Genomic DNA, 26681 nt, shown 5'->3' on the forward strand with positions numbered 1-26681 from the left:
CTATCTTCTTTGATTATTACTTTGCAAAGGAGTGGCTGTAGGGTCCTTAGACACTGCTGCATTGTAAGGCTGGCAAGAGGCTTACTTAGCCTTAAAAAAAAAAAAGATTTGCATACATTTCAAAGAGACAACGAAAGAATTTGCAATGACAAGATTTATAAGGCAAATGCTTTAAGCAAAGGGAGGAAGGGAAACCTCTTCCTTTATTTTCAACAGGAAGAATTAAGCCTCTTATTCTTAATTTGTGTTTGCCTTTACATTCCCAAGCTGGCTAAGCCTGATCACCCTCTTCAACCTGTTTTCCTGGGGCAGAAGCTGTGAACTTTAATTTCATTCAAACACAACTCTGTATTTTGGATACTGTGTGTCTTTTTTTTTTTTTTTTAGACTCTAACAAAAATATTAAACTGCACTGGCCAGGCAAGGTGGCTCATGCCTGTAATCCCAGCATTTTGGGAGGCCGAGGCGGGTGGATCACCTGGATTGCCTGGATCACCTGAGGTCAGGAGTTCAAGACTAGCCTGGCCAACATTGTGAAACCTTGTCTCTACTAAAAATACAAAAATTAGCTGGGCTTGGTGGTAGGTACCTGTAAGCCCAGCTACTTGGGAGGCTGAGGCAGGAGAATTGCTTGAACTCGGGAGGCGCAGTTTGCAGTGAGCCAAGATCATGCCACTGCACTTCAGCCAGGGCAACAAGAGCAAAACTCCGTCTAATATATATATATAACATTTATATCTAATAATAATTTATTATATATAAATTATATATATATAATTTATATATAATAAATTATATATATAATTTATATATAATAAATTATATATATAATTTATAATAATATATTATATATAATATATATATAATATATATTATATATATAACATATAATATACAATATATTATATATAATAATTATATATAATATATTATATATATTATATATAATAATTATAATATATTATATAAATATATAATATATTAAATATAATAATATATAATATATTATTATATAATATATTAATATATTATATATATTATACTTAAAATAAAATATACTACCTTAAGGAAGAAAAATAAAAACTTACAAAAGGCCTTGCCAAAAGCATTGGTGTCTAGAAATTATGCTTAGTGCAATTATATATGCACTAATATAATATAACATATATTATATATGATATCATATATGATACATTATATGTTATATATGATATATTATATATAATATGTATTATTAATATATTATATACCATATATTATATTATAATTATAATATATTATATTTAATATATATTTACTATAATATATTATATTATATTTAATATAATATATTATATTTAATATAATATAATATATTATATTTAATATAAATATACTTAATATAATATATATTATATATAATATTTAATATAATATATATTACATGTTATATATAATATAAATAATATATATTATATATAACATGTAATATATATTATATAATATATAATACGTTATATATATAATTGCACTAAGCATAATTTCTAGACACCAATGCTTTTGGCAAGGCCTTTTGTAGGTTTTTCTTTTTCTCCCTTAAGGTAGTTTATTTCATGGGTAATAATCCTGTTGAATTTGCTTAGTAGTTATAGCTTGTGATTCTGTGAGAAAAGAAAAATCATTACATAGTAGTATCAGGGATTCTATGCTAATTCTGGGCTAATTACTGGCCATTCTCCATGTGCATGATGATAGCGAGCGTTTGCTGGCTGTTTTGTATGTGTCATGTTCTGTTCTAAGTGCTTTAAATATATTATGTCATTTAAATCTGAGTAGAAGCTTGTGAAGTTGACACCCTTACTATTGTATCTGCATCTCACAGATAAGGGAATCAAATGAGAAAGTTTGTAACTGGCTAAACATTATACATCTAGTGAGACATGTAGCTTGGCTTAAACCCCAGCAGTCTGACTCCCGAGGTTCTACCCCACTAGCACAGAGTAAAATACAGTGGCTGAAAACAGGGGCCCTATAGCGCGACAAGGCTGGGTTCAGATTCCATCACCGTTGTTTACTAGCTGGACAGTTTGCCTACCTGTGTTGTGCCTCAGTTTCCCAAATGCTGATAATATAAGCCTTATAAGTGCTTGTGACGATTAGTGAAATGTGTACACAGACTGTGTGCAGAATCTGACATACAGAAAAAGTGGGGAAACACTAGCTTTCATGAAAAATAGATCCTCAGACACTGAAGTCAGGCTCCATGGCTCCCCCTCATGGAAATACTGTAACTTACTGCATTTCGAACGGCCTCTTGGTTTTATGCCCCTCATCTGTTCCTTAGTAGTGCCTATGACTGCTGCACATTCTCCTCTAAATTACTTTTGTAATAACCTCATTAGAAAATGGTAACAGTCTCAGTACCTCATTCAACAAAGTGTTTGATGGCTCACCATGCACCAAACATTGTGCTAGATATGAGGGATAGAAGGATGGTAAATTTAAAAAGGTAGGCACCCCGCCCCACAGCTGCTAATATATAAGAGAAAGACGCAATTGCAATTGTAACAAGAGCCCCCAAAAGGGAAATTCAGTGCCCTATGAAAACATACAGCTAAGGCAAGGGCTGATTTACCTGAAGCTAGTAAATTTCAGGGCCTCTTGCTTGCACAGCTCTTCCAAGGCCCCAGGGCCATTTCTTTTTTCCAGTAAAATTCACAAAAGTAAGTTATTTTAACAAAAGGAGTTAAAATAATTCTCTTTCCATTCCTATTTCTGTCAAAATTCCTCTCATGTTGGATGATGTTGGAGTGGTCACCAGCAGTTGGGGTGTCTGCTAAACTGAATTGGGGAATTAATTTATTTCTTAGATCAGTTCAGAAATACTTGTGTGGTTTGTTGTCACTTCACTATAGAGTTAATGCTCTATACTGTCCTTTGGTGGGGCTGTCTTCCAGCAGACTGGACTATACTTTCTGCCCACCTTGTGACATTTATGTGCAGGGCCAGAGGTGGTATTGAAATGTAGAAGTGTCCAGTGGTACTCAGCTCTGGAAGTAAATGGGAATTGGAGGAGAAGCAAAGTTTGAATTGTTTAAAGTGTATGAAGCCATAAGCTAGTATCAAATTATGTAAAAGTGTTAGCAGAGGATATGGTTTCATGGATGCATAGTCAAAACAGAAGTTTGTCCCCATCATGAATATTCACAATTTAGTGTTTACTATTATGAATGCACCATGCTTTTTAAAAATATGATAATAATTGCATACAATAGAAATTTTTAGAAATTCTGTCTTGGCCAGATACAAATCTGTGGTGGTCCTATGAGTGGCAAATCTAAGTGTGTGTGAGGTATGATTTAGCACTTGAACTCCTTATTCTCTCTATTAAAAATATGCTTATAAAATCTTCAATAAAGGAAGAGGTGATCAAAGAGAATGCAGCTCCGAAATGTAGACGGAAATTGCAATTAGAGATGTGTTAGACATTTAAGTAGTTTGAAACATTACTTTATATTTGTGTGAAATTTAGGATACTGTAAATTTTTTGGAATTTGTAATTTGTTCTAATTTCTTCTTATATTGTAAGTTAATATTCATTTTTGCATCTAATTTTGTAATCTTTTTCTTAAATGGCTTCCCAAAGTTTATAAGCTTCAGGTACCACCAAACTTGGATGCTTCCCTAGTAGGAAGACCTGAATTAGTGTAGAAGTCAAGGTAACTTTTCCTGAGAAAACAAAATCAAAGCTGACCCCTGATTATGGGGTCAGAGGCAGCCATACTAGGGTGATGATGTGAAAGTGGGGAGAGGAGGCATGTGTGTGAGGGGAGCAGCCATTGCTGGAGTGTAGGAGTCTGCCAGTCACTAAGGCTGAACCATCAGATAAGAAATCAGAAGAAATAGCACCAAAGGGAAAAATCTGTCCTCATGATCCAATCACCTCCCACCAGGCCCCAATTCCAACATTGGGGATTACAATTCGACATGAGATTTGGGTAGGGACACAAATCCAAATCATATCACCAATGTTGCAACTTCTTCTTAGAAACAAGATGAACCCCACTTTTAGGCCTTTTGATTTCAGGAAATATTAAAAATTAAAAATAATATAACCATTTTTTCTGTTCATATTCAAGACAAGCTAGTGGTATAAATATTCAACCATATATTCAAGGATGAAGGTAATATCATTTTATTTTATTTTATTTAAATTCCATTCCTAGCCCTATCCATTCCTCCATGATTGTGGGAATTGTGGGAAATTCAACCTTAGTCATCTTTAGTGCCCTGTCTCCTTTCTTCCCTCTCGGTATCATAAGAAGGACACCAAGTCCTATACAGGCCTTTAGGGGAGGCCTCTCTGATTTTCAGTTCCTAGTGGTTATATTTTTCCTAACTGGTTTATTCCTTTGAGGTTCCAACCCTCTGCTTCTGTACCAAGCTTGGAGAACGACAGTAAAACAGAACCCAGAGTCCAGGCTGCCTAAGTGTTTTATGTAGCTATTTCCCTCTGACTAGATTGTAGAGTGTGGGTAACGTAGTTTGGATGTGTGTCCCCACCCAAATCTCATATATTGAAATGTAATGCCTGGTGTTGGAGGTGGAGCCTGGTAGAATGTGATTAGATCATGGGGGCAGGTTTCTCATGAATGGTTTAGCACTATTCCACTTGGTACTATCTTCACCATAGTGAGGGAATTCTCCTGAGATCTAGTCATTTAAAAGTGTGCCCCTTTGCCTTCCATGAGTGGAAGCTTCCTGAGGCCTCCCCAGAAGCAGATGCCACCATGCTTCCTGTACCGCCTGCAGAACCATGAGCAAATTAAACCTCTTTTCTTATAAATTACTCAGTCTTAGATATTTCTTTATAGGAATGCAAGAATGGACTAATACAGGGGGTCTACCTAAAACTTTTGCAAACTTCTTTTTCATGTCTAATGTATGGTTGTGGTAGACAGAATTCTAAGATGGTCCCATGAGTCCCAGTCCCTGGAATTCATGCTCTGTATAATTCCCTTCCCTTAAGTATGGACAGGAACTGTGACTCACTTCTAGTTAACAGTATATGGCAAAGGTGAAAGAATTGTGCAGATGCAACTAAGATCCTGTGAAAGAAAAACAGAATATAGGGACTGTGAACTCACTATGCCATAAGGAAAGTTAAGCTTGGAAACTCAGTCACCAATACTGTCTTTTTTGTTGTCGTTGTTCCCAAACTGATAGCTGTAATTTCATAATCCCAAGACATAGCATCATTTCCTCTACTCCCTCTTTTCACATGTTTACTTTATCTTATGTAAAATGTAGATTTACTGAGGCTAATCAGAGCCTCAAAAGAATGGAACCATCTGCCTCACTGTCTACCCTCTCTTCCTTTTTTTTTTTTTCTCTCCTGCTTGCTCTTTCTTTTTTAAATAAAGAATTTCCCAAAACCCCCTTTGGAAAAAGCATAGGTTACAGATGCTCTTGTGAGTTGCATTTTTTTCCCAGACATGTTCTCAACCTTGGCTAAATGATCGCTAACCCACAGAGATCTGCCTCAGTCACTTTTTGGTTTGCAGTCCCAAGTCAGTTGATTTTAGTTAATCAAAAAGGGGTTAAGACTATTTTCAGTGGGCCTCACTTAATCTGGTGATTGTCCTTAAAAGATGGGCTGGGGCCTCCCTGAGGTACAGAATTGTCCTTGCTGGCTTGATGTAGTAAGCAGTCTGCTGAGGAAGCCCACATGGGAAGGGATGGAGGTGACTTCTAGAAGCTGAAGGCAACTCCAGCCAACATCCAGCAAAAATGTGGGGCTGTCAGTTATATGGTTATGAGGAAAATAATTCTGCAAACAATCTGGATGAGCTTGGGATCAGATCTTCTCCAGCTGAGCCTCCAGATAAAAACAGCCTAGTTGACACCTTGATTGCAGTCTTCTGAGACCCAGAGCCAAGGATCCAGCTAAGCTGTGCCTAGACTCCTAACTCCTGGGAACTGTGAGATAATAAATGATTAATTGTTTTAAGTTACTTATTGTGTTACTCCATTCTCACAATGCTATAAAGAAATACCTCATACTGAGTAATTTATAAAGAAACGAAGTTTAATTGACTCACAGTTCTGCAGGCTATATAGGAAGCATGACTTGAGAGGCCTCAGGAAACTTACAATCATGGTGGAAGATGAAGGGGAAGCAGGCTGTCTTACACAGCTGGAGCAGGAGGAAGAGAGAGGGTGGGAGGTGCCACACACTTTTAAACAACCAGATCTCCTGAGAACTCTATCAGGAGAATAGCACCAAAGGAAGAAATCTGTCCCCGTGATCCAATCACCTCCTACCAGGCCCCAATTCCAACACTGGAGATTACAATTCAACATGAGATTTGGGTAGGGACACAAATCCAAACCGTATCACTAATGTTGCAACTTCTTTTTAGAAACAAGATGAATCCCACTTACAATTTGGTTTGGAAGTCAAGAATAACAGTGCCATACATATATCAAGAGCTTAGGAAAAGTTTTATTATTGATATATTCTCAAGGTTTTTTTGGGAGGACAGAAAATGCCTCCTAAGCTGGTCTAAAAGTTATTTAAGAGGGCAAGTGTTCTGGGCTGAATTGTGTACTTCCCTCTTCTCCCAGCCAAATATATACATTGAACTCTTAACCCCCAGTATGTCAGAATGTGGCTATATTTGGAGATAGAGTCTTTAGGGAGGTAATTCCAGTTAAATTAGGTCATTGAGGGTGGGCCTTAATCCAACACGACTGGTGTCCTCATAAGAAGAGGCAATTTAGATATGGAAAGGTACACAGGAGGATCATGTAAAGACACAGGGAGAAGATGGTCCCACAGTGGCTCCACAAGAAACCAACTCTGCTGACTTGTGGCCTCCAGAATTGTGAGAAAACAAATTTCCATTTAAGCCACCCAATCTGTGGTAGTTTTGTTCCTGGACCAAACTGAGGGTCAGGCTGCTATTTCTTGCTGCCAATAATGAGATGTCGATGAACTGGGGATGAAGAAAGTTTTTATTTCTGTAACCAGTTACAGGCAGAAGGCCTGGAAATTATCACCAGACCAACTCAAAATTACAAAGTTTTTCAGAGTTTATATACCTTATAAGCTATATGTCTACATGTAAGTGTACATTCCTCTGAAGATATAAATGTTTCTTTATCAGCATTTGGAACATGCCAGGCAAATAGTAAACACTCAATATCATCTACCATCAGCCTCAGCCTGGGGCCTCACACCCATCTTCTTTTATCTAAAATTCTGAATTAGCTATGAATATTCTCATTTTACGAATGAGGAAAGAAATGTGATCTGAGCTAATGCCTTGTGTCAACAGGTATATTACACTAAGATGGAGAATGATATACTGAATCTGTGTTTGCCTTTAACGTGTGTTTAACTTCGAGAAAAAAGCCAAGGCTGGGCGGTCGCAGTCACGCTGCATCCGGCGACAGGGGGCGGTGTGTCCTGCGAAAAGTCAAAACGCCGGAAGCTGCCCTTAGTGTTTTTCAGCCTCTTGGTCTTAGGGAAAGTGAGGCCGTGTTTTACATCCAACATATTATTATTCTGATAATATGTGACTTGGCGCCACGCGCACTCTGCACTTAAACACGCACTTAAGGGATAAACACATACGACTGAAAAAGAGTTTCGCCCTTGATAGGCAGTGTATGGGGTGCGCAGCTGCAATCTGCAAACCCTTGCAGGGCGCGGGGTTTCGTACACCCGCTCAAGGACGCAAAGAACCTCCATTCTCTGCCATACAAAGCACTCCTGGCCCAGAGAGCAGGAAAGAGCATCAGCTAGGCCCAGCTAGGCGGCGCCCTCGGCCGGACTCTGAAGGTCAGGGCCGCTGGGCGTCCACGCCGCCTGGGTCCCAGTCCCCGTCCCATCCCCCGGCGGCCTAGGCAGCGTTTCCAGCCCCGAGAACTTTGTTCTTTTTGTCCCGCCCCCTGCGCCCAACCGCCTGCGCCGCCTTCCGGCCCGAGTTCTGGAGACTCAACATGAAGCTACCGGCCAGGGTTTTCTTTACTCTGGGGTCCCGGCTGCCCTGTGGCCTCGCTCCTCGGAGGGTAAGGCGGCCGGGGGCGCGGGGAGCGAGGACAGGGCGTCTCGACGCGCAAAGAGAGAGGACAGGGCGTCACGGGGGCTCGGGGAGCGAGGACAAGGCATCCTGGGGCGCAAAGAGAGAGGACAGGGCGTCCCGGGGGTTCGGGGAGCGAGGACAGGGCATCCCGAGGCGCAGAGAGAGAGAGGACAGGGCGTCCCGGGGCCTCGGGGAGCGAGGACAGGGTGTCCCGGGGCTCAAAGAGAGAGGACAGGGCGTTCTGGAGCGCTAAGAGAGCACAGAGCAACCCGGGGAGCGAGAGAGAGGACAGGACGTCTCGGGGCGCAAGAGAAAGGGCAGGAAGTCTTGGGGCACAAAGAGAGGACCCGGCGTCCCTGGGGCTCAGGGAGCTAGGACAGGGCGTTTTGGGGCGCAGAGAGAGAGGACCACCAGGTCCCGGAGCGAAGGGCAACGCCGGGAGTGAGCACCGGGGCCCGGGTCGTATTCCACTGTCAGATGAAGCCCTGATGTGTGTAGGGGAATAGGGAAGAGACGTGATTTTCGAAGTTTTCACAGTTCTGCAAGTTTCCAACTTGTGTGTAAATAGGTAGAAAGAGGTAGGGAAGGATACGGCGCCCGTCCACCCCTTAAGGAGTGAGAGGGGATCAGGCCGAGCGAGCACTGACCTTTGACGTCCTTTGTTGTGAGGAAAGTCCATCTATGTGTTAGTTATGGAATTAAACACTAATACAAACAAATTATCATAAAAATGAAACAAAAACAAAACCCCAGCTGTTTATAGACTCCCCTTCCCAGATGTATAGCTGGGAGAGGTCCGTCTCACACTGGCTTCCCCCTCTCTCTGGCCCACACTCCTGTCACCATCTCCATTGCACCCATAGTGGAAATAGCTAGGAAGTGAAAACAGCTAGGAAGAAGAAAGAGAAACAAAAACAAAAAGAAGCAATAATATCCAAGACAAGCCCTCCCCACATCTAAATTACAAAATTGTTATAAGTAAACTAAAAAGCACATTTTCTTTAGCCAGGTAGAAAAATTAATATGTCAACTGTGAAAAAACTTCTTTTGATTTGATAGAATAGACAGCCATGGTGTTGTTTTTCAAAAAATATGGGCAGCAGTAGTTCCAAATAGGAATACAAAGAATTAGTATGGTGGTTCCCTCAAGTAAGGTATCTTTCTTTTAAAAAGTGAGATTTGTTCAGGGTTAGGGTTTTGCTGATTTTTTTTCTCTCCCTGTGAAAACTGGGTTATAGATCATTATAAAGGAAGCCCATATTTTCTGATACTTTTCAGAGACATTTCTCATTTGAAATCTACAACAGCTCTGTGATGTCTTCAGAGATTTCATTTTTTAACACACATCATTAGGATTGTAGCAATAAGGTCATACAGACCTTATCCAAGCTCTTCTGACACCATTAGACAATACAGTTTGAGAAGGAGAAAATGAACTCATTTAAAAATTAATTGTAATCTGACAATTTTGAAATTCCTTTGCTGAAGAAAAATATGGAAGTTTTGAGGTTCAGGGTTGGGAGGCAAGAGAGGTACCTGTTAGTGTGGTTTGTCCCCTTCCTAGCACATGTAGCCTCAAGTTTGAATTCCTGGGAGAAGAAAAGTCTTTACATCTGTGATGTGGGAGGTTGTTCCAGGGAACATCATGTTTTTGTGGGCAAATACAAGTTGTTATAATTAAAACCCCTAATTTGAATATTTTTGTTACCAAGAACCAAGGCAAATGTTTAATTTGTTATAAAACCTGTTTGTGAAGTGCTGTGTTAAATTGTGCTGCTGGCTAATAGGCCTCATTTCAATTTAATAAATATTTATTGAGGACTGGCTTTATGTCTGGCCCTGTGCTATGCCCTGGGACTCAAAATTTAAAAAATACGAGCCCTGCTCTCAACTGTTCTCAAGTTGCTCTCAGTTCTATTGAGGAAAACATTCAGTCATTCAGTTGTTTATGAGGAAACACTAATTAATTAAGTACCTATTAAGTATTGGGCATTCTTTGGCAATTTGTGGTTGAAAGACATTCCTGCCTTCAATGTACTATAGTCTCATATATGTATTTTAAGCCACAAATAATAACCAATGAGTAGGCCTTGAAATCAATTTAGTGGAGCAAAACAGCACTTTGGGAGGCTGAGGCGGGTGGATCATTAGATCAAGAGATCAAGACTATCCTGGCCAACATGGTGAAACCCTGTCTCTAGTAAAAATACAAAAATTACTGGGTGTGGTTTCACACGCCTGTAGTCCCAGCTACTTGGGAGGCTGAGGCAGGAGAATCGCTTTAACCTGGGAGGCAGAGGTTGCAGTGAGCTGAGGTCGCGCCACTGTAGTCCAACCTGGCGATAGAGTGAGTGAGACTCCATCTCAAAAACAAAAAAATGGAATAGAATAGGATATATCTAAATTCATCTCATGTAGTAAGGTTGTTCATTTTGTGAAACTTTAAAAAAAAAATTTACCATTCTTCCTTTTTTGATTCATTCTTTGATTACTATCATGCACACTGCCATGTTTCTTTTCCTTTTGTTTTTATCAAGAGTAATAACTATCCAACCTGATCAACATGGTGAAACCCTGTCTCTACTGAAAATATAAAAATTAGCCGGGCGTGGTGGCGCGTGCCTGTAATCCCAGCTACTCAGGAGGCTGAGGCAGGAGCTACTCAGGAGGCTGAGGCAGGAGAATCACTTGAACCTAGGAGGCAGAGGTTGCAGTGAGCCAAGATCACGCCATTGCACTCCAGCCTGGGCAACAAAGTGAGATTCTATCTCAAAAAGAAAAAAAAAAAAAAGAATAGTAACTATCAAGAGTAAAATCACTATTTTTAGAAAAATGATTCCTGGCCAATATTCAGCAATACAGTTAACAAAGTAAGATATGACCTCAAACTGGCCACCTAGAATTAACTTGGGTTAGCATTTGGTGTATATCATTCCAGGCATCTGTTCTGGTAAAAGGATGGATAGGCATAATTTTACTTGGATGTCACATTTTCCCTTAGTCAACATTGTTTCATTGTTTTCTCACGATGAATATTGTCTTGGAGCAGTATAAAACCAACTAGATGTGTTTTCTTTATTTTTTTTAAATCTGGAAGCCTAAGTATTTCTTTATTCAGTGTAAAATTCTGGAATATAAGCTCTATGCAGGCAAAGATTTTCAACTGTTTTGTCCACTGTTTATACCTAGAACAGTGCTTAGCATAGAGTAAACATGTAACAAATATCTGTTACATGAATGAACGTGTGTACTGTGTTGCTATGAACATGTGTATGTTGCTATATAAATCACATTTCTTGCTATGGTTCACAGTCAGAAAAATCTGAAAAATGATAGTCTAGTGAGTCACCAGCAGACATCAATAGACTGTGAAGATGCAGATGTGTATTATAATGCATATATGACCCAAACTGTACATACCTAGAGGAGGCAAGGAAAGCTTCATGGAGGAGGTGGCCCCAGGAGCCTGCTGTTAAATCAGGAGTTGGAATTTGTGTGGTCCCAATGGCAATATAGACCTAAGGAATAGCATGTATCAAGAAGTGAAAGAGTGGCTTATTTATAAAAATTCAAGTGGTTTGTTTGGTATTGTGGAGTTGGTGAAGTATGGGAACAGAGAGAAGCGTGTGGAGACGAGATCAGTCAGGTTGCTGGGGGACAGGGTATGGTGGGCTTTTCTTATTTATGTAGAAAATTGAGCATTTACTATTTGCTAGGCACCTTACTAGGGATATGAAGGTGAGAAGAAGAGCTGATTCCTGCTGTCAAGAAGCATAGAGTCCAATGGCATTATGGTATGATGTGCCGCATGTTAGGTTGGGTGTTCTTGCTTTTGGATGGGATCCCAAATAAATAGCATCCGTTTTTTCCAGTCTGAAAAATGAGTAAAGATGGAAGCCAAAGTATCACTTTTATTGTGGTTTGTGAGAGGAAGCTGGGCCTATCAGCTGGATCTCCCGAAGTAGGCGGACTTACATAACTCTGGAGGAGGGCAGAACATTGTCCTCTGAAGGCAGCTGGCTCCCAAAAGGAAGAAGACCAAGGAGAACTGTTCATACCCAACGATCCTGTCAAAATTTACCAGTCATATCAACTGTCTCTGCACAGACAGATTGTACCTCAGTCTGTGTTGCTATAAAGGAATACCTGAGGCTGGGTAATTTATAAAGAAAAGGGTTTGTTTGACTCATGATTCTGATGCCTGGACAAGTTCAAGACTGGGCATCTGCATCTGGTGACGGCCTAAGGCTGCTTGCACTTGTGGCAGAAGGTGAAGGGGAGCTGGAGTTTGCAGAGATGGAAGTGAGGGGGTGTTGGGAGGTGCCGGCAAGAGAGGAAGTGAGAGGGTGTTGGGAGGTGCCGGCAAGAGAGGAAGTGAGAGGGTGTTGGGAGGTGCCAGGTTCTTTCACAACCTGCTTTAGTGGGAACTAATAGAGTGCAAACTCACTTGCCACTGCCAGGATGAAGATGGTACTACGACATTCATGATGGATCTGCCACCATAACCCAGGCACCTCCCATTAGACCCCACCTCCAACATTGGGGATCACATTTCAACATGAGTTTTCAAGGGACAAACATCCAAACATCCTTAGCAGGTTGACTAAGGGGACAGAAAGAAGCCTGGAGTTGTACTACCTGAACTTCTCACAGTAGGGAGATGTCAGGACTGGGGAAGAAGCATCTCCTGCTCATGGGGGAGGTATGTCCAGTTTTATGAGAGTGTTGTTGTTTGGTATATATCAAAGCTGAGACCTGAAAGATGAGTAGGAGTTAGCCAAAGGGAGAGATGTAAGAATGTTTTAAACAGGAGAGTAGTCTATGTGAAGGCCCAGCATAAAGGTTATCAACAGAGAGTGGGGAGGCAGGAGGTGAGAGACAGCTTAGTGAGCAGCCTGTTGGCTGCGTTAAAGAGTTAGAACTTTGTCCTGCAGGGTGGGAGTGGAGACAAATGGCTAAACCCTGAGTAATCCTCTCATCTGTTGAGAGGTGATGGTGGCCTCAACGAGGGCATGCATTGGGTTTGGAGACACTCAAAGTTGAGTGATATTTAGGAGGTAAAATCAGAGGCCTTGGTGATTGGTTGGTGGTGAGGATGAGAGATGGGGCTATGCTCAGTGGTGACATGTTGCCATCAAAATTGTGAGCAGAAATACGATATCATCAGGTAAGACTGGAAGTAGGGAGACCAAACATCCAAACACCAGTGATGAGGGTCTGAACTGAGGATAGCATTAGAGCTACTGGGGACTAAAACGAACTGGGCTTGGTTTGAATGTATGGGGTAAGATGAAGCCCAGATTTCTGTCTTTGGCCCCTGAGCTAAGGACAGTGCCACTCTCTTGAGTGAGGACATTAAGTGGGGGCTGGAGGGAGAAGAGGAGTAAGTGACATCAGTCCTGAAATGTCAGTAGGGTCTGGGACTCCTCAAGTGGTATATAGATAAATAAGCTACAGAAGTAGAGGAGAGAATGTTAATTCTCCCTGGGAGTGTTAGGGAAAGCACCAGAGCTCTCACAGCTGGGTTTCAATGATGAATGTTGGGTGATGATAGGGAGCAATTTGTGTAAAGACAGGAAAGTAGGAAAGAGTTCATGTTTGGGGAATCCTGAGTACTTTGTTTTCCTGAGTGTAAATTTCAGGGGAGATGAGGCAGAAGAGAGGGACAGGAGCTAGGTCGTGAAGACATATGCTATGGGGAGCGAAGGAATCTGGATATTCTGCAGCTACCAGGAGCCCTTAGAAGATCTTAAGAAGAGAAGTAACATGATCCCATTAGCAGTCCTCGGAAGATCAGTTAAAAGATGACACAGAATAGGCCCCCAATGTTTGTGAATGTTGTGAGATAGGGGTTTGAAATCAGGTGGTGGATATAGAGGGACACTGGGGAGGTAAAAGGCATGGGGCTTATAGACGGATGGGATGTATCAGGTGAAGAGGAGAGGGAGTCACCAAGGTGGGGCAGGGCAGGGCAGGTGGTGGGGGTGGGGTTAATGGATGAATCTTGGCCTTGTAGCTTAAGGATGCATTTGAAGAAATTTCAAACAAACTTCCTGCCCAAACTACAAAGCAAACTTTATATTATTACAAAAAATAATCTAGATCTCAGATATCTCCCAAAGGTCATGATAATGACATCAAAAGAGGGGGGAATTTTAAAGTTATCCAGAGTTTCTTACAGCCCATGGTAGAAAGCATGCAATAGATGTTTAGCAACTTTTAGTTTTTGCAGAAAATTCTAGGTAGAAAATGATCAGCATTCTCAGCTGTCCTGCGCTCTTCTCTTCCTAAGTTGATGAATCATTCTGAGATTGAAGTGCCAGGGTAATGATAAGTAAGTCTAGAATACAAGGTCAACTGCACTTTTATCCCTTCCAGTCTGGGAAACCCTCACACTGCATTGTAACATAAAAGCAGTGATAGAACTGTAGGCTTTCATAATTGCTGGAATGATGAAATGATGTTGCCATTTACCTTTAGCCCTAATTTATTCTTCATGCTTCAAAACCATATTTCCTACTGCAGCTTAGATATCTCTACCTGACTATTCCAGAAGCATCCCAAGTGCAGCATTTCTGATGCAGAACTCATTATCCTCAATGCTCCAACTTGGTCTTCTCATGTCAACCCAGTCATTTCAGTCAGAGCATCACTCTGCATGCAGCCACTTAAAACTAGAACTCAGTTACCTTCCACAGCTCTCACCTTACTTGCCAGGTCTGGCTGGTTGGGTTCTGGGTTCAGGCTAATTTACATGTTAAATGTGTGTGGAATATGTTGTCTTCTCTTAATTTCTACTGCCCTCGGTATCTCTCATGTACACTTAATGACTTCTGTCTGATGAGTCTCCATTTCCTTTTTTCTGGCTCACATTTAAATCTTAATTTTTCTAGAACACAAAGGCAGTGCAGATGTAACAGGGATATTGAGGTAAAGATGAGAGAGGTAGAAAAATCTCTCTCAGTTCTTTTCAGTAAACAGGAGACCTGTTTATATGCTGTTAATGAAACAGGCAAAAATGTGATGAAATAGATCAAGAACAAAAGTCCAAGCTCATGTTGTTGGGCAAGAGGCAAGAAGAAATCATGGATCTAGTGGATATCTTAAATATCCTGACTTGATCATTACACATTCTATGCATGGAATAAAATATCACATGTACCCCATAAATAGGTTAAAATGTTATGTATTAATAAAACATTAAGAAAAAGAAGAAATAATTGGACCAGGCGATATTAGGTACAGTGGTGACTCATTACGTCCTCATTTTTTGGGACCTTTGCTCTTGCAAGTAGTTTTATTTGCTAACTTCCCACCAGTTCACATGATAGCATCCTGGGCTAAGCATCACCATCTCTTGCCTGGCTTGTTATACAAGTGTCCTAATAGTTTCCCTGCTTCCAACCTTGCCCTCTACACTCCATGGCAGCCAGAACAATCCCCTTAAAACTTAAGGCAGATCATGTCCATTCTCTCCTTAAAACTTAGAAGATGTTTCCCACTTGCCTCAGAGTAAAAGCCTAAGTCTCCGTAGTGGCTGACTCAGCCTGCATGGTCCAGTCCCCTTTACCTCACTGACCTCTTCTCCTGCCCCTGTCTCCCTCCTTCCTTCTTCTCCAGCCACACTGGCTTCCTGACTGTTACCCCATCCATAAGCATGCCCCCTGCTTAGGGCCTTTGCTCCCAATCCCTTTTGCCTAAAACCCTGTGATTCATTCTTCTCCTTCACGTCTTTGCTCCAATGTCACCTTCTCAATGAGGCCTTTGCTGATGACTCTATTTAAAGTAGCAATGCTCTATCCCTATTCTCTGCCTTATTTTTTCCCCACACTACATATCAACTTTTAATATACTACATATTTAACTTAATTTCTTTATCCCTCATTCCCCCAAGGATAATCTTGCTGAGAATAGAATATTGTGTCTGTTTTTTTTTTTTACTGCCGTACTGCCATGCCTAGAACAGTGCCTGGGGCTTAATATATGCTCAATAAACACTTGCTTAAAATGAATAAATGAATAAACTCTATATCCATCATAATGTCATGTTTATCCCTAATACTTTTTTATGTAAGCAAATTCCCAAAACAAACTCTTTGCAAGAGCAGAGATTCTAATTTTTGGTTTAAAAAAGATTGTCATTATAGTTTTGGTTAACATGATAGGGGATCAATAAGAGATGACTCAAATCAGAGGCAGGCAGGAGTGAAGACCCTAGCTGAAAATTTCAAATTGCCTCTTAGGTCTGTGATTTCATCTCTTTTTATTTTGTTGTATTGGAGAAGCATCTGTTCAGTCTGCATCTAACTGCAGACAGATAACCACTGTAATAAAATGAGATGTACACCCTATGGCATAGAGCACCGACATTTTCAAGGACTCATGTTCACTGATACAAAATGTATCATTCCTCAAAAATGTAATTTCTGTCTTGCTCCTGGCAACTGCATAATTCAGCTTAGCCATTGGAGCTTGGAGTCCAGCTGGGCAGTTTCTTTTATATTTGTTTAGCCTTACCTTCAGGTTGCTGTGGCAACAAGATCTGTGCTCTGCGGAAGCTGAGAATATCAGTGGCCTCTGTTCAGTGCCCTGCTATAAGTTAAGGAGCAGGCAGATGTGCTTAAGCAATCTACACAGTCATGGAGCATGAGTTAACGAGGCCTGTGGCAAGCTTTTGGTGTGGTACTCAGTTATTTTAATGTCTGCAGGGCAACTGTTGGCATTTGGGGTGAGACAGTTCTTCATTCTGCAAGGCTGTCCTTTTCTGCACTGGAACATCCAGTAGAACATCCCACCAAACTATCCCTTGTATTACCAGATACCTCCAGCTAAGGACCACATACACTGTGCTGAAGTGGCAGTGGTGTGGCCATTGGAAAGAATGCACGCATGGCCTTCTAGCAATCGGACAAAATAAATTGGGAAGTAGTTATGGAAGGCTTCCTGTATTCAGGGAGTACATAAGGTGTTTTGGGAATGCAAAGATGTACACTTTTGAAACTCATCCTTTGAAAAATATGGTTGTCCAGTGTTTACCACGCTGATAGTTTAATATGGCAGTTAGGGCCCAGTCTGCAAAACTCTTATGTGAATTCCAGTTGGAGTAAATTTGATCTAAAAAATATTGATTCAACCTGAACCAACAGATACGTAGAAGCTCCAAGAAAATAGATGTGGAAATATTTCATTATCTTTATAAATATAGCTCACACTTTAGTGTTTAATATAGAGTAGTTATGCTTCAAGTAAGGTATATGTCCTTATCATGAAATTGATTCTAGGCCATTTTTTTTCTTGCTCTGTTTTCCTCTACGTACTTCTTGTATTGTGTGCTTGCCTATATGATTCAGTTTTCTGTTAGCTATTGTTAAAGAAAAAAAATTTATGAACATGTTGAACATTCAAGCAATATAAAAGGATATGCAGTGACAGTGTAATAAGGTTATTATTACTATGGTTATTACTATGAATAGGTTCTTGTGGATACTTCTGACAGTTTTTGTGCATATGTCAACATATGTATGAAGATATCCTCATTTTAAAAAACCACATGAAGGGGAGCCTGTTACATGTATTTCTCTACCTTGAGTTTTACACTTAACACATAGTGTCTCACATTGTTGGTATCCAACAAATACTTATTGAATAATTAAAAAATAATACATCTATAGCAATGTTTACAGTCAGCATATACATTCCAGCTCCTTCTTTTGGTAGATAATAGATCCATATAACTGTATTTTGTAATATAGATGTGCTCTAATTCATTGGCTATGTCCCCTAAGGAAACACACATAGATTGTTTTGTAGTCTTTCTATTACAAACAATTCTTTAATGAATCTCTTTGGCTATTTTGAGTCTCTTGCATTTTCAAAACAATTTTAGGATAAGCTTGTCGACGTTCACAAAAAGCTGATTAGGATTTTGATAGGGATTTTGTTGAATCTGTATATCAATTTAGGAAGTGTTGTCCTCTTAACAAAATTAAGCTTTCCAGTCCATGAACATATAATGTCTTTTTGTTTACTTAGGTCTTTAATTTCTTAATGATGTTTCATAGTTTTCAATTTATAAGTCTTGTACTTCTTTTATTAAATGTATTAGTATTCTTTTCAATATGATTATAAACAGAATTGTTTTCTTAATTTCATTTTCATCTTAATGTATATCTTTGATCATAGCTCCTTCTCCCCCTGCTTCTTTCCCAAATGAATGAGTATTTCTTTTAGATAAATTCCTGCATGTGGATTTGCTGGGTCAAAGAGTATTTGTATCTAACATTTAAAAAAATGTTGCCAGATTGGCCTCCTAAGAAGTTGCCAGAATTCTTATCAACAGATTGTAAGGGTGGCTTTAATCAACTGTTTCTTGTATTATAGATGATAAAATTTTGAACCTTGCTGGTCTGGTAAGAGAAAAATTATGTCTCCTTTTGTTTAAATATGCTTATTTAGTTATAAATATGGTCGTATATTTGTTTTTTGTTTGTGTGGAGTACCTTTCTAAGCCCTTTGCTTAGTTTTTCTATTTGCAAGTAACTCAGTACTTGTATAGATTGATTTAGATTTTCTTTTCTTTTCTTTTTTTTTTTTTTAAGAGGGAGTCTTGTTCCGTTGCCCAGGCTGGAGTGTGGTGGCACGATCTTGGCTCACTGCAACCTCCGCCATCTGGGTTCAAGAAATTCTCCTGCCTCAGCCTCTCGAATAGCTGGGACTACAGGCGCATGCCACCACGCCCGGCTAATTTTTGTATTTTTAGTAGAGATGGGGTTTCACCATGTTGGCCAGGTTGGTCTCGAACTCCTGATCTCAGGTGGTCCACCTGCCTCGGCCTCCCAAAGTGCTGGGATTACAGGTGTTAGCTACCGTGCCCGGCCTGATGATTTAGATTTTCTATTCTTGGGCTTATTCTAATGTTTAAGATGTCATAATTTAGGGTCATTGGAAATGACTAATTTTTTAAAACAAGTGGCAAAAGCTGGATTTCAATCATATATTCACATAAGACTACATGTCTGTATCCATGTGCTTTCTAATGCAATTGGAGTCTGGCCAACCAAGTGTTACATTAAGTAAGACAAGCATTTACCGAATGCCTAACTGGTGCCAGAAACTGTACTATAGTGATGAATATAAGGTCGTGTCCCTGGCTTCCTAAGCATCCTGATATGTTGAAATGAATTGTGGCAACTCCTTAGCAGGCCAATTTGGAAGCCTTCCATTTGCCTGTTTTTAATAGGGTACAATTTAAAGTGTTGACAGAGATATTGACAATGTTGTCTGGTTTTGAAGGCCAATTCTGCTGGGTTGAGAAAGACAGTGGGTGGTTCAGGCCAATGAGAAAGCAGGAGCAAAGGCCAGAAGGTGAAAGTAGTTGGCAAGTTTTTGGAATTGTGAGGGCTTGGTAAGTGTAGAGTTTACTTCTACATGGCAGATCAGTCACGAGGTGGGGCTAGGAAAGTATTAATACGTTGGCACCATATTGTCCAGTGGCTTGAATGCCATGCTCAAGAGTTTGATTTTTGTCTTTTTGACTTTGGAAGGCATCCATGTTTTTGAGGAATGGAATTTTAATGTGGAGGACCCATCCATAGTGATGATGATGACGACGATGATAAATAGCTAAACTAAGTGCTCAAAAGATAACTCATTTAGCCTTACAACTTCCATATGAGAGACTATTATTGTATGAGTTTTATATATTTGAAACTGGATCTTCTTAATAATGTACCTAGCACACACATTAAACAATGATTTTTGTAGAAATTTGTTTTAAATGAAATTTAGTTGTGGTTCCAAAATAAAAGCCTTGCCTCTTCTTTCGTTTTTTTTTTTTTTTTTTTTTTTGTATTGGTTTCTTGTGTGTTACTTACAATAGGCATCTAGGAGTCACATACTCAGAGGCCTAAAGTCCTTGAAGGCCTTGTTTATGAAAGGCCACCCAGTGAAAAGGGCTCACTTTTCCTGTGTGAGTCGGGGCTGGACAGAGCTCAGGCCTTGTCTCAAGGGGGCAGTCGTAGTTGTACTTAATCATGTGGTAAGGTGTACCCAAGTGTTGGTAGAGCTTCTGACTTTTATGTGAATTCTTCCATTATCTAAATGTTGGCTCAAGTTTTAAAAACTTTGGGCTCAAGTTTTAAAAACATATTTGGCCTAGAATCACTAATCTACTGTTATTTGAGATATTTACCCTAGACATTTTAGACTAGCCAAAATATACTTAAGTAATTTAGGTATATATCTCATTGATATACAGTCCTTATCCTTGAGGGGAAGGTGCAGTGTCAACTCTCAGAACTGCCATTTTGAAGATTAAAAGTATGATCATGTCTCATTAGTTTAGATGCTGTAATTTTGGAATACATGAAGGAGGAAGCTATTGTTTATATGATGTAGGAGAGGGATGAGTATGGTGAGGAAGGTAGGTGATAGCTAATTTTTTGAGGGAGAGATTTAGAGCTTGTAACTAAAAAATAATTCTGTATTGCCAAAGTTGGAAGACTCTAGAAAGTTTTAAGAATTTTAGGTCACTAAAGATCTCAAGAGAAATCAATCTTGATACGAAAGGTGTTATTTATATTTTTGAAAAAAACTTATTTCTCTAAAAACCATAAAGCAAGACTTGAAAATCTTTAAAAGCCTGTTTTGTATCTACTTTTTATAATTCAAAAAAGCCCAACCAAAATACTGTTTAAGGTTATTAAGGATGCTTCCTTGTAGAAACGGGATTGAATATGATGTGATCCTGTGAGATCTGATCATCTCAATGGGTCTTAAGGTTGAAATGAACATCTTCCTTTTAGGCAGAGAAGATGGCTTGAATTTATATTAACACATATGCTGTGTATTGTCAGAGGGTAATGAGAATTAAAATAGCTTATCAATTTCTTCACTTTGGTTTGGTGAGGAAGTGGAATCATAAGGTTAGTATTGATCAGATCATATAAGATAAAAATGTGCTATGTAATAACCTGTTACATTATGGACACTAGGAATTATTTTTACCACATGTGACATTTTTACCTTTATATCCTTTTCTCTACCAGTGAGGAGGTTGAGGAAATGTTTTAAAATAAATTTAAAAAGAAAGTTTGTATGCAAATATCTTGTTTAATTATTTTCATGAAGTCCCACATCAAATCCCCTATACACATTAACATTAAAAAGTTAAAAATTATGGGAAAGCCTTCAGAAAATTAGAATACATTTTTTTCATTATTATTACTTAATGACAAATTTACCATTCTACTTGAGTGAACTTCTTGATTCATCATCTTAATGTAATAGTTCTGAAGGCAGGTGGCAGCTTTAAGGAAAACTGCCACTTATGTAGAAAAAGATTATTGTAGAGTTGCTTGGATTACTGTGCTTTGGCAAAAGGATATGAAAAGAAAATGCTTTGTCAACATGAAGCTAAAATAAATATGATGACTGGCATGGAGCATAACAAGATTTACAAATGTATCTTCAATTATTTTATACATGATCTCAAATTTTGTCTTTCAGTAACTTTTTTTCTGCTTGTAAAGATCTAATCATACTTATTGGATAGATTTGGAAAGTACTAAAAACCAATCAAACAAACAAACAAAAAAAAACAAATAATTATCTATAATCTCATCACTTAACCATAACTGTAAAGTAATGGGTGGACTCTGAAGTCAGACAGATACTGGATTTAAGTCTTTATTCCCTATTATTATTTATCTTTAACAGCTAGCTACTTGACCTTTCTGTGCTTCAGTTTTTTTCATCTATAAAATAGAAGTAACAATTGAATTTACCTTATAGAGCTGTTTTGAGGACTGTATGGTAAATATTGAATCTACTACTTACTGTTGTTATTTCCTTCTAGTCTTTTTTTCTAAGCATATATTTTTATTTGTAGTTAAAAACATACTGTATATTTGTTTCTTTTTTTTCATTTAACATCACATTATAAACATTTTCTTGTGCAATTTCCAGGTGATGAACAGCCTCCTTCTAAATCATTGACCACATTTCTTATTCTTTCCTGAGGATAAATTTCAAGATATCCTGAACCAACTGATGACAGCCTATTTAGCTACAGGAATACTCTGGAAGGAAATGGTAGCTTCTGGAGTTTTAACTGGAGTGTTAATCTTGCCACCATGACCTAATGGAATATCACATAACCTCCCTGGTGTGACCATTAAGCTTAGCAGGATCTCAGAGAATAGACAGAGGAATATGCAAGCTGGTTATCAGAGAAGGCTCTGGAGCCTGTCAGTCAGTTTGAACCTTGGTTCTGCAACTTTGGCAATATATATATTTTTTATCACTCTGAGCCCTTTCTGTACAATAGGATAAAACTAATACCTATTTCATGTGGTTGTTTGGAAGATTAAATAGTTTGATATGTAATCCTGGCAGGTGGTAACTACTTAATGAATGTTAGCTCCTATTGTTCATTATATTAGATACCTAAAGTTTGTTTTATGATTAAATGCGAGAGAATGGCAGTGATGTTCGCATGTAATGTGAGTACAAGCTGTTAACATATAAAATAGGGCAATACAAATATTTTTTACTCCGAAATGGATTGATTTTCCTCCCATTTAAAATAAATAACAGAAATATTCTGTTTTATGTTTTGTGGCCAGAAGCTAGCATGGGAAGAGGCATTTGATTTAATAATCCTTATAGAGAATTTTTAACAATTTTCTTCAGTAATTCAAAGGTGGAAAGTGATTTTTGTCCAGATTATTCTTGTTGAAAGACAAAAATGCTTTATGTTAGTTTTTTAAAAATTAAATTTGGTCGGGTGTGGTGGCTCATGCCTGTAATCCCAGCTCTTTGGGAGGCCGAGGTGGGCAGATCATGAGGTCAGGAGATCGAGACCATCCTAGCCAACATGGTGAAACCCTGTCTGTACTAAAAATACAAAAATTTAACGGCGTGGTGGTGTGTGCCTGTAATCCCAGCTACTCTACTCGGGAGGCTGAGGCAGGAGAATCGCTTGAACCTGGGAGGCGGAGGTTGCAGTCAGCCAAGATCATGCCACTGCACTCCAGCCTGGCTACAGAGCGAGACTCCATCTCAAAAAAACAAACAAACAAAACAAAACAAAACAAAACCAAAAACCAAAACAAAACACAACAATTTAATTTAAGCAAAACACCTGCAGCTAATAATGGTAGCATTTGTAGTGCTTACTATGTGCTACACACTGCTCTAGGTGCTTTACCTGTAATAACTCATATAATCCTCACAATGCCATATGAAGAAATTTATTTTATTGTCCCCATTTTGTAGATGAAGGAACTGAGGCACAGAGAGGTCAAATAACCTGCTGAAAGTTACATAGCTTGGGAGAAAATTCTGTGCTATGTAGTCCAGCTCCAGAGCCTGTGCTTTTTAAATCAGAAAACAAAGAATAATAATTAAGTACAATACCAATATGTTTGCAGTGAGTTTGTGTTAATACAAGAATTTGATTACTATTAAATTCAAGAGCATGTTTTAAAAAATTCATCTGTTTTTTGGAAATATATGTATGCAAATTTAAATTCATTTTCCCCTTTTAGTTTTTCAGTTATGGGACAAAAATATTATATCAAAACACTGAAGCTTTGCAATCTAAATTCTTTTCACCTCTTCAAAAAGCGATGCTACCACCTAATAGTTTTCAAGGAAAAGTGGCATTCATTACTGGGGGAGGTACTGGCCTTGGTAAAGGAATGACAACTCTTCTGTCCAGCCTAGGTGCTCAGTGCGTGATAGCCAGCCGGTAAGTCCCTTACATCAAGCCTATTGGCGACGCTTTTGAAGAAACTGTTCTGTGCCATAGTATTGAAAACACTGTTCGCCAGAGTTGTTTGATTAGCATCTTAATCTTATATGAAATACTAGAAATATTATTTAGATTATTTAAATACATCTTTTTGGAAAAAGTTAGGTACTATTTGAGATGAAAGAAACAATGAAAATTGTGGAACTGATGTTTGGGTAAACATCCGCAATTTTCATTATTTTAATTTCTCCAATTCAGTGGTAGAATATTTCTTTTTCTGTACACGAAGATGAAGTTAAAAAGTACGACATGGAGCCAGGTGGGATGGTGTGTGCCTGTAATCCCAGCTACTGGGAAGCTGAGGCAGGAAGATCACTTGAAGCCCAGAATTTGAGACCAGCTGGGCAACATAGTGAGACCTTGTCTCAAAAGAAACATTTTTTTTTTAAGCACTATATGGAGGTTGCTTTGTCTTCAGTGGGAGTGATTATGGTTACTGCTTTAATTAATAATTAACCTTATACCAGGAAAATTGATGCAGTACTTTCATTTTATTTTTTATTTTTTGTGAGGTGGAGTTTTGTCCAGCTCTTGTCGCCCAGGCTGGAGTGCAGTGGCATGATCTCAGCTCACTGCAACCTCCGCCTCCCGGGTTCAAGCAGTTCTCCTGCCTCGGCCTTCCGAGTAGCTGGGATTACAGGCGCCTGCCACCACACCTGGCTAATTTTTTGTATTTTTAGTAGAGACTGGGTTTTGCCATATTGGCCAGGCTGGTCTTGAACTCCTGACCTCAGGTGATCCACCCGCCTTGGCCTCCCAAAGTGCTGGGATTACAGGCGTGAGCCACCGCGCCCAGCCAGTACTTTCATTTTCTATAAAATAAACAGGTATTTCAAAATATCTGTTATTGTGATGAATATAGGAAGGGTAAGACCATGTGGAAGGAATTTCTTCTTATTAGGCATATTCTGGTACCCTGTAAACTCTGTTCCAAAGTCTGAGGCTTTAGAGACTGGTTTAAAAATCCACCCCTTCACCATTTTGAATGGTGTAAAATTTTAGGTAAGCCAAGTAGTCATCCAAACAACAGTTACTGTGTCATTTGCAATTGCAGATTGTCCGGAATATTTTTTGTTTTTACATTGTAATGTTTTTAAGAGTTTAAATATATTATTTTCATTTTAATAATAATTTCTATTCATAGTTTTTTTTGTAGAATGTGAGACTGCATGAATAAATGTAGTCTCTTTGAACCCATAAATTTAGTACAAAACCTACTAACATTATACCATGAATATATTTTCTTTGTAAACCTGGCTTATCAAGGAAATAATTTAAATCTGTGAGTAGATAATGTTAAAGTAAACTGGTTTAAAAGTGACTAATTCAATAAGTTAGTATCAAATATATAAAAATGATCTAAATTTGACTTTTAGAAAAAATTCACATTGATTTTTGTATATAAATAACATCTATACTTTCTCAGAAATGCTTTTCTTTAAGCTATGGATTCTCTGTATTCTTCAATTTATGAAATTGAAAAATATAATATGAAGTCATACAAGGTGTTTATTTCTAGGAAGATGGATGTTTTGAAAGCTACCGCAGAACAAATTTCTTCTCAAACTGGAAATAAGGTACATTAAAAATCAGTTATTTAATTTAGATTTAGGAATTATAACATGTTCAAATAATTTGTTCATGCGTTTGGTTTAAGAAAGCTGGAAAATGTCATATTCTTTTTGTTATTTTGCAGGTTCATGCAATTCAGTGTGATGTGAGGGATCCTGATATGGTTCAAAACACTGTGTCAGAACTGATCAAAGTTGCAGGACATCCTAATGTAAGTGTAGCAATGATGAAGCCAAAGTGCAAGACACTTGATGTTGATAACACCCACCAACATGTACAAAGGAAATAAAATATTGATACTGATGTAGGACAGGCAAGCCCGAATCTGGGGCTTAGCCTGGGAAGGTTCTTGGCTTCACCCAGGAAAGAATTCAAGGATGAGCCGGTGGTAGAAGAGAACAGCTTTATTGAAGCAGCAGCAGTGGAATGGATCTGTGACTGTTCCTTCAGAGCAGGGCAACACCATAGTCAATGTGCTGGGCATAGCAGTTGAGAGGCAGTTTTATAGTCGTATTTATACCCACTTTTAATTGCCTGCAAATTAATTAGGTTTATGCAGAAATTTCTAGAAAAGGGTTGGTAACTTCTGAGTTATCAGTTCGTTGCCATGGAAAGGGCAGTAACTTGCTGACATTGCCATGGCAATGGTAAACAAACATGGTGCATTGGTGGGTATGTCTAAAGAGGGGGTGCTTTCATCCAGGACCTGGTTTAACTAGTCCTCATTCTGGTCCTGTGATGGAACTCTGCCTCCAGAGTTAGGCCTCCTCCTACCTCAATATGAGCAAGTGCTGTGTTGAGAAGCACCTATTTTCCATCCCTAGGAAAATGCCAGTTCTGCTAAAGCAAAGAACAGAGTAGGAAGACTGCTACACAACTTCCTTTCAGGAATACTTAAAGAATCCATTTATGATTGATCAGAAAACAAACTTGATTTCACTTTATTTAATAAGATTATGAAATAACAAGAGCAGTTATCCAAGAGTACAGCATTGAGTTTAAATGATTGATGCTTTTTGCTTCTCCTAGTAACTTTTGATTGTCTTCCTCAGTGGAGGAGAACGATATAAACATGAAAAACTATAAGAAATTCAAAATTTCTCCTTTTAAGACCTGAAATATGCATGAATATTTTGCTGTTGCTTGGTACATTTATCGGAGAGAAGCCGTTTCTTCCAGTAGTCTCAAAGATAGCACTTTTCTATGTTAAAGGTATTTTCAGAACC

General features: G+C 38.8%; 1 protein-coding gene across 6 annotated transcripts in view, besides 5 other annotated features; it reads left to right on the plus strand.

The window, feature by feature from the left end:
- Positions 7315-7609: an enhancer, noted in NCBI's record as "tiled region #13813; HepG2 Activating DNase unmatched - State 1:Tss, and K562 Activating DNase unmatched - State 1:Tss". NCBI's record gives its function as "activates a minimal TATA promoter and a strong SV40 promoter by Sharpr-MPRA in HepG2 and K562 cells {active_cell/tissue: HepG2 | K562}" and the evidence as "EXISTENCE:reporter gene assay evidence [ECO:0000049][PMID:27701403]".
- Positions 7888-7987: a silencer, noted in NCBI's record as "silent region_19350". NCBI's record gives its function as "represses an Ori minimal core promoter by ATAC-STARR-seq in GM12878 lymphoblastoid cells {active_cell/tissue: GM12878}" and the evidence as "EXISTENCE:reporter gene assay evidence [ECO:0000049][PMID:35858748]".
- The window catches only part of DECR1 (2,4-dienoyl-CoA reductase 1), a 52157-nt gene continuing 33446 nt past the window's right edge, over positions 7971-26681 (plus strand). Inside the window, exons 1-6 of one of the 6 annotated variants that reach the window (NM_001330575.2) lie at positions 7971-8055; positions 11942-12339; positions 12530-12771; positions 23618-23820; positions 25403-25460; positions 25580-25666. In NM_001330575.2, coding sequence (NP_001317504.1) covers positions 12730-12771; positions 23618-23820; positions 25403-25460; positions 25580-25666 — 390 coding nt within the window. In that variant the 5' untranslated portion in view covers positions 7971-8055; positions 11942-12339; positions 12530-12729. Of the gene's footprint in view, positions 11864-11941; positions 12772-22034; positions 22161-23617; positions 23821-25402; positions 25461-25579; positions 25667-26681 lie in introns of those variants that run through there. The other 5 variants (XM_047421410.1, XM_011516880.4, NM_001359.2 and 2 more) reach the window with 5 other exon arrangements.
- Positions 8458-8597: an enhancer, noted in NCBI's record as "active region_27609". NCBI's record gives its function as "activates an Ori minimal core promoter by ATAC-STARR-seq in GM12878 lymphoblastoid cells {active_cell/tissue: GM12878}" and the evidence as "EXISTENCE:reporter gene assay evidence [ECO:0000049][PMID:35858748]".
- Positions 12110-12419: an enhancer, noted in NCBI's record as "active region_27610". NCBI's record gives its function as "activates an Ori minimal core promoter by ATAC-STARR-seq in GM12878 lymphoblastoid cells {active_cell/tissue: GM12878}" and the evidence as "EXISTENCE:reporter gene assay evidence [ECO:0000049][PMID:35858748]".
- Positions 12580-12639: an enhancer, noted in NCBI's record as "active region_27611". NCBI's record gives its function as "activates an Ori minimal core promoter by ATAC-STARR-seq in GM12878 lymphoblastoid cells {active_cell/tissue: GM12878}" and the evidence as "EXISTENCE:reporter gene assay evidence [ECO:0000049][PMID:35858748]".

This window comes from Homo sapiens, chromosome 8 (genome assembly GCF_000001405.40).
Source record: "Homo sapiens chromosome 8, GRCh38.p14 Primary Assembly".
In the NCBI taxonomy this organism is placed as follows: Eukaryota; Metazoa; Chordata; class Mammalia; order Primates; family Hominidae; genus Homo; species Homo sapiens.